This window comes from Homo sapiens, chromosome 8, assembly GCF_000001405.40.
Source record: "Homo sapiens chromosome 8, GRCh38.p14 Primary Assembly".
Classification (NCBI taxonomy): Eukaryota; Metazoa; Chordata; class Mammalia; order Primates; family Hominidae; genus Homo; species Homo sapiens.
Window position 1 is genome coordinate 41,418,621 of NC_000008.11, and position 8,107 is coordinate 41,426,727.

Consider the following 8,107-nt stretch of genomic DNA (forward strand, 5'->3'; position numbering starts at 1 on the left):
AATAGCTAAAGAAACTGTAATACATCCATGCCATAGAAAGCTACTCAACAGTCAAAAAAAAAAAAGAACTATTTGATACACGTTTTGGATGAATCTCTAGGCAATTACGTTGGATTTTTTTTTAAAAAACTGATCCCAAAAGTTTACATAGCATCTGATTCCATTATATTATATTTTTGAAATGACAAAATTATGAAAGTAAAGAACAGATCAGTGGTTTCTAGGGGGTTAGGTATGGGTGGTGGGAGGATGGGAGGTGGGTATGGTTATAAAAAGCAGCAGCAGGGATCCTTGTGATTCAGTATCTTGACTGTGATGTTGGACACACGAAACTACATATGTGGTAAAACTACATAGAGTTAAACACACATACACACACACATGCACATACAAATGAACACATGAAAATCTGGAGAAATCTGAGTAAGATCGGATATATCCATGTCAGTTTTCTGGTTGTAATATTGTACTATAGTTTTGCAAAATGTTACCATTGTTGGAAGCTAGGTAATGGGATGATAGTACGGTAGGGTCCTTTTGTATTAATTAAAAAAAAAAAAAAAAAAAAAAAGACAGGGTCTCACTCTGTCGCCCAGGCTGAGTTCCCTGCAGCCTCAAATTCCTGGGCTTTTTAAAGTGATCCTCCCACCTCCATCTCAGCCTCTTGAGCAGCTAGGACTACAGATTATTTCTTTCTTTTTTTTTTTTTTTTAACAGAGTCTCACTCTGTCACCCAGGCTAGAGTGTAGTGGTGCGATCTCAGCTCACTGCAACCTCCACCTCCCGGGTTCAAGTGATTCTCCTGCCTCAGCCTCCTGAGTAGCTGGGATTACAGGCGTGCGCCACCACCACACCTGGCTAATTTTTGTATTTTTAGTAGAGACGGGTTTGTTTCACTATGTTAGCCAGGCTGGTCATGAATTCTTGACCTCAAGTGATCTGCCCACCTCAGACTCCCAAAGTGCTGGAATTATAGGCGTGAGTGTATCTATCACTTCTTAAAACAGCATATAGCTGTAAAATGGTTTCAAAATAAGAAGGTTTTACATAAATTAATATAACAAGTAGTTAAGTATATATGTGTAAAGGACATCTGCCTTGCTATTATGGGAAGGGGAAACGTACCCTGGATAGAATTTCCAGCAACAGTATTAACTCATATTCAAAAGGTGCTGCACCTCACACAACCTAGTGACAGTGAGGATGATGTGCCCCTACGATCATGTTAGGTAACTCAAAAAATGGCTCGAGTTGATGACAGAGACATTAAAGTAAAGAGACTTAGAGAAACTTTGAATAAAATTATTTCTTAAAATGTGAGAATTGAATAAAGTACTACTTCCAAATTAATGTATTATCTAATATATGAAATTTTAAATGTGGAAAACTAAATTAATAAACAATTATAGGTAGACATTTGACCACTGCACTTACTTTCCTAAAACTTTACTTATTCAAGTTTTTAGAAAACTTTTTGTTGGGAAAATGGAAGAAAATCACCTTGTGTTCAGGATGACCTATATATTTAATATGGACTATTACTGGTGAGAAAACTTAGGCTCAAAGAGGTTGTGTGACTGTTTAATGCCACAAGGTTTGAAAGCGGCAGAGCCAGGATGACAGCCCAGTGAGTTTAACTCAAGACACAGAAGGAATCTCATAGGCCTTTGATTTCCTTACCAACAAAATCTGACCAAGACGTTCTCTAAATCCCCTCTCAATGACAACTCAAAGCAATTCCCTCCTCTTCGTTTGCTGAGCCACAGTGCAGCCTGATTTTAATTTTCATATTGGATCATCGGGTTTTTTGTTTTTTTGTTTTTGTTTTTGAGACAGAGTCTCACTCTGTCACCCAGGCTGGAGTGCAGGGCCGTGATCTCGGCTCATGGTAACCTCCGCCTCCCAGGTTCAAGCAAATTCTCCTGCCTCAGCCTCCGGAGTAGCTGGGACTACGACTACAAGCACGTGCCACCATCCCCAGCTAATTTTTGAATTTTTAGTAGAGACATGGTTTCCTCATGTTGGCCAGGATGGTCTTGAACTCCTGACCTCAGGTGATCTGCCTGCCTTGGCTTCCCAATGTGCTGGGATTACAGGCATGAGCCACCGCGCCTGGCCATATGGGGTTTTCAGCTGCGTTTCCATTGTGCTGCACATGTCTTTCATGTTTCCCATGCACATTTCACGTGGAGTTACAGGACCTTTTTTTTCTTTTTTCTTTTTTCTTTTTTTTTTTTTTTTTGAGACGGAGTTTCACTCTTGTTGCCCAGGCTGGAGTGCAATGGAGCAATCTCGGTTCACCACAACCTCCGCCTCCTGGGTTCAAGCGATTCTCCTGTTTCAGCCTCCTGAGTAGCTGGGATTACAGGCATGGACTGCCACGCCCAGCTAATTTTGTATGTTTTAGAAGAGACAGGGTTTCTTTGTGTTGGTGAGGTTGGTCTTGAACTCCTGACCTCAGGTGATGCGCCCACCTTGGCCTCCCAAAGTGCTGGGATTACAGGCGTGAGCCACCCCGCCCGGCCAGGACCTTTGAATATAGGTACACGCTTTGAAATATATTGTGCAAATGCCAGAGTCTTCCTGGAACCATGGGACCTCGTGGAACTCAAAGCCAAACCAAACCCCAACCGAAGACGCTCCTCACAGGCTCCCCCTGGAGGCCCAATGAAGAATTTGATGTTTTGACATCAACAAGAGTAAAAACAATGCGTGATGTAGGGTAGGTATCGAGCAACTTTCCTATAAAGGGCCAGGTAGTAAATATTTTAGGATTTTGGGGCCATACAATTTCTGTCACAACTGTGTAACCCTACCATCATAGCACAAAGTCAACCATAGATAACACATAAATGAATGAGTGTGACTGTGTTCAATAAGACTTTACTGACACTGAAATTTGGATTTCATATAATTTTTATGTATCATAAAATATTACTTGGATACTTTTCCAACTGCTTAAAAATGAAAAAAAAAATTGGCCCATGGGTCATATAAAGATAGGCGGCAAACCAAATTGGCTCTCGGGCCATAGCTTGCTGACCCTCATACAGAAAAATGAACACTAGATTTAGAGAAGTCCCAGGCTGGAGAACCGCTACTTTTGCTTGTACAATGTGAGACACTGGGCGAGTCAAATGAGTTCAAATAAATTCTTAGGGCCTTGATTTACTGTTAAAGCATTGGATTAGATTAACCTTAAAAGGGCCGGGCGCGGTGGCTCACGCCTGTAATCCCAGCACTTTGGGAGGCCGAGGCGGGCGGATCACGAGGTCAGGAGATCGAGACCATCCTGGCTAACACGGTGAAACCCCGTCTCTACTAAAAATACAAAAAATTAGCCGGGCGAGGTGGCGGGCGCCTGTAGTCCCAGCTACTCGGGAGGCTGAGGCAGGAGAATGGCGTGAAGCCCAGGGGGCGGAGCCTGCAGTGAGCCGAGATTGCGCCACTGCACTCCAGCCTGGGCGACAGCGAGACTCCGTCTCAAAAAAAAAAAAAAAAAAAAAAAAAAAAGATTAACCTTAAAAGCCCCTTCAGCCCTAAAAACTCTCTAGTGGCTTCTGTTTCCAGTGGCTTCTGTTTCCAGTGGCCTCTGCATATGGCAGACTGGTTGAGCTTTTAAAAAATTCCTTTCAATACAAAATACATTAAAATTCTGGGTAAAATAAAATGTCGTTCAAAAAACCCTCACTAAGGCCGGGCATGGTGGCTCATGCCTGTAATCTCAGCACTTTGTGAGGCTGAGGTGGGTGGATCACAAGGCCAGAAGTTCAAGACCAGCCTGGCCAACATGCCAAAGCCCCGTCTCTACTAAAAATACCAAAATTAGCCAGGCGTGGTGGTGGGCACCTGCTACTCGGGAGGCTGAGGCAGGAGAATCGCTTGACTCTGGGGGACAGAGGTTGCAGTGAGCTGAGATTGTGCCACTGTACTCCAGCCTGGGTGACAGAGCAAGACTCCGGAAAAAAAAAAAAAAAACCCTCACTGAGCTGGCAAGAGCATAAAGAAATTCCTCAGAGGTCAAAAATGACCCCAAAAGCAAAAATTCAGAGTCCTCAAAAAAGCCTTTAGTCTCACAGCATTCCTGGGAATGCCTGCACATCTCTAAAACCCTAGAAGTTCTTCTTCAAACTGATAAAGAGAATCCACTGCACATCTCTAAAACCCTAGAAGTTCTTCTTCAAACTGATAAAGAGAATCCACAAAAATCCAGCCAGGTGCAGCGGCTCATACCTGCAATCCCAGCACTTTGGGAGGCGGAGGCGGGTAGATCATTTGAGGTCAGAAATTCAAGACCAGCCTGGCCAACATGGTGAAACTCCGTCTCTACTAAAAATACAAAAATTAGCCAAGCATGGTGTTGGGCACCTGTAGTCCCAGCTACTCAGGAGGCTGAGGCAGGAGAATCGCTTGAACCCAGGAAGCGGAGGTTACAGTGAGCCAAGATGGTACCACTGCACTCCAGCCTGGGCAACAGAATGAGACTCCGTCTCAAAAAAAAAAAAGAAAAGAAAAAGAAAAAAACAGAATTTTTTTACTTCTTACTAGCCAATCTCTCATTATTCTAATCCCTTGTTATAGTGAATAATTTTTAAATTTTTAATATTAAACTTTGCCTGTTTAAATTATTGTACAGTTGCCTTCTCCTGATCGGACTCAGATATATAAACTCAGGCTATCCTTTTATAAACTCTGGCCTAACAACTGTATTTTTATATCCTAGCATCAATCAATAGGAAAATAAAAAATTGAAAATTCCATTTACAATCATACCAAGAAACATCAAATGCACAGAAATAAATTTAACCAGAGATGTACATGACCTCTTTGCTGAAAACTATGTAACATTGCTGAGAGAAATTCAAGAAGACTTAAAGAAAGAAATACATTACATTTCTAGATGGGAAAACTCAATACTTTTATTTTATTTTATTTTTGAGACAAGGTCTTGCTCTGTTGCCAAGGCTGGAATACAGTGGCACAATCATAGTTCACTGCCGCCTCAAACTCCTGGGTTCAAGCAATCCTCCCACCTCAGCCCCCAGAGTAGCTAGGACTGCAGGCATATCCCACTGTGCCCAGCTAATTTTTTTTTTTTTTTTTTTTTTGTAGAGATGGGGTCTTACTTTGTTGGCCAGGCTGGTCTTGAACTCCTGGGCTCAAGTGATCCCTCTGCCTCAGCCTCGCAAATTGCTGGGATTACAGTCATGAGCCACCATGCCTAGCCAAAAACTCAGTACTTTTAGTTGTCAGTTCTCTCCAAATTCATCTATGGATTTAATGCAATTCTAATCATAATTTCAGAAAAGGTTTTTTTAATAAATCAAATAGTTAATTTTTAAATTTATATGAAGATGCAGAGGCCTGGAATAGCCATAGCAATCTTTAAAAAAAAAAAAGGCCAAAATTTTACATGACCTGAGTTCAAGACTTATTATAAAATTATACTAATCAAGACAGGGTAGTACTGGTATAAGAACTGACAAATAGATCAATAGAAAAAGAAAAAATGAGCCCAGAATAGAACCATGCCTGTACCATCATTTGATTTTCAACAATGATGCCAAAGCACATCAGTGAGGAAAGGAAAGTCTATCCAATAAATTATCCCAGAATACTTGATATTCATATGGAAAAAATAATAACAAACCTCAGATCCTACCTTATAGTATACCCAGAAACTAACTCAAGATGGATCAGAGACCTAATTATAAAAGCTAAAACCATAAAGCTTTTAGGAAAAAAAAATTGAGAGAACATCTTCATGACTAGAGAAGAGGCAAAAGTTTCTTAGGACACTGGAAGCAGTCATCATAACAGAAAATATTGATAAATTGACTTTACCAGAATTTAAAACTTCTATTCATCAAAAATCACACTTATGAAAACAAATAGGCAGGCCAAAGAATGGGAGAAAATATTTACAAAACAAATATCTGACAAACGGACTGGTAGTCAAGATCCATAAGAAACTCCTAATACTTGCCCGGGCGCGGTGGCTCACGCCTGTAATCCCAGCACTTTGGGAGGCCGAGGCGGGTAGATCACCTGAGGTCAGGAGTTTGAAACAAGCCTGGCCAATATGGTGAAACCCAGTCTCTACTAAAAAGACAAAAAAATTAGCCGGGCATGGTGCAGGCGCCTATAATCCTAGCTAATTGGGAGGCTGAGGCACGAAAATCGCTTGACCCTGGGAGGCGGAGGTTGCAGTGAGCTAAGACTGCGCCATTGCACTCCAGCCTGAGCAACAAGAACGAAACTCCATCTCAAAAACAACAACAAAAAAAGACAAACAACCCAACTTAAAATATGGGTAAAAGATTTGAACAGATTTCCTAACTGTGTATGAATGGCAATAAACACATGAGAAAGTGCTCAATATCCTTAGTCATCAGGGAAAAGCAAGTTTAAACCAAATGAGATACCACTCCATGCTAAAATTCAATAGCCAAAATTTAAAATGCTTATGACACTAAATGTTGGCAACAATGTAGGAAAACTGGAATTCTTGCATTATTCGTGGGAAGGAAAAATGTTGAAACTCCTTGATACGGTTTGGCTCTGTGTCCCCACTCAACTCTCATCTCAAATTGTAATCCCCACATGTCAAGGGAGGGACCTGGTGGAAGGTGATTGGATCATGCGGGCCGTTTCCCCCATGCTGTTCTCGTGATAGTGAGTTCTCACGAGATCCAATGGGGTTTTTCTCTCTCTCTCTCTCTCTCTCTCTCTCTCTCTCCCTCCCTCTCCCTCCCCCTCCCCCTCCCCCCCCCCCCTTCTGCTACCGTGGGAGATATGCCTTGTTTCTCCTTCACGTTCCACCATGATTGTAAGTTTCTGGAAACCTCCCCAGCCATGCAGAGACTGTGAGTCAATTAAACCTCTTTTCTTTATAAATTACCCAGTCTCAAGTAGTTATTTTTTTCTCTTTTTTTTTTTTTTTTTTGAGACGGAGTCTCACTCTGTTGCCCAGGCTGGAGTGCAACGGCGCTGTCTCCGTTCCCTGTAACCTCTTCCTCTTGGGTTCAAGCGATTCTCTTGCCTCAGCCCCACCAAGTAGCTGGGATTACAGGCGCCCGCCACCACGCCCAGCTTATTTTTGTATTTTTAGTGGAGACGGGGTCTTCACATGTTGGTCAGGCTTGTCTCGAACTCCTGACCTCAGATGATCCACCCGCCTCGGCCTCCGAAAGTGCTGGGATTACAGGCGTAAATTACCACGCCCAGCCTTCAGGTAGTTCTTTATAGCAGTGTGAGAATGGACTAATACACCCCTTCAAAAACATGTAAAACATACACCTATGCTGTGACTCAACAATGAGAAATAAAAACATGTTTATGCAAACACTTATATAAGAATGCTTATAGCAGCTTTGTTCTTAATAGTCAAATCCCGAGTATTAATAGGAGGCTGGAATAAACAAACTGTGGTTTATAAAATTACCTTCATTAAAAAAGAATGAGCTACTGATACATGAAGCAGCATGGATGCCTCTCAAAACTCTTATGCTAACTGAAAGGAACCTCGCACACAAGCGTGCATGCTGTACAACTCCACCTATGAGAAATTCTACAACAGGCAAATCTAATCTATGACGGAAAAAATCAGAATAGTCGTTATGTCTGAAAGGGTAAAGTTAAGAATTGACTTGGGACAGCCAGGTGCAGTGGTGTGCACCAGAGTCCCAGCTACTTGGGAGGCTGAGGTGGGAGGATTGCATGAGCCCAGAAGTTTGAGGCTGCAGTGTGCTGTGATCACACCACTACATTCCAGCTTGTGCAACAGAGCGAGACCCTGTCTCTGAAAAACAAACAAACAAACAAATAATTGACTAGGGAGAGCATAAAGAAAATTTCTGAAGTGACGGTGATGTTTTATCACTTGATATGGGTTTGCATTACATAAAAGAATGCATTTTTCAAAATGTACACTTAAGATTTGAACATTTCATTGTATCTGAAGTTTACATTAAATGAAATATATATATATATACACACATACACATATATACGTGTGTGTGTGTGTTTGTGTGTGTGTGATGAAATCACCCCAAATAGCTGGAATTACCAGCAGATTGTGTAGTGGTGAACCTACAATTTTCTGAAG

General features: G+C 41.7%; 1 non-coding gene across 1 annotated transcript; it reads left to right on the forward strand.

Moving 5' to 3' along the window:
- Window positions 1–8,034: 8,034 nt before the first annotated feature.
- SNORD65B (small nucleolar RNA, C/D box 65B) lies at window positions 8,035–8,107 on the forward strand. Its single transcript, NR_145746.1, has one exon. It is a non-coding gene; the product is annotated as a small nucleolar RNA, C/D box 65B (small nucleolar RNA).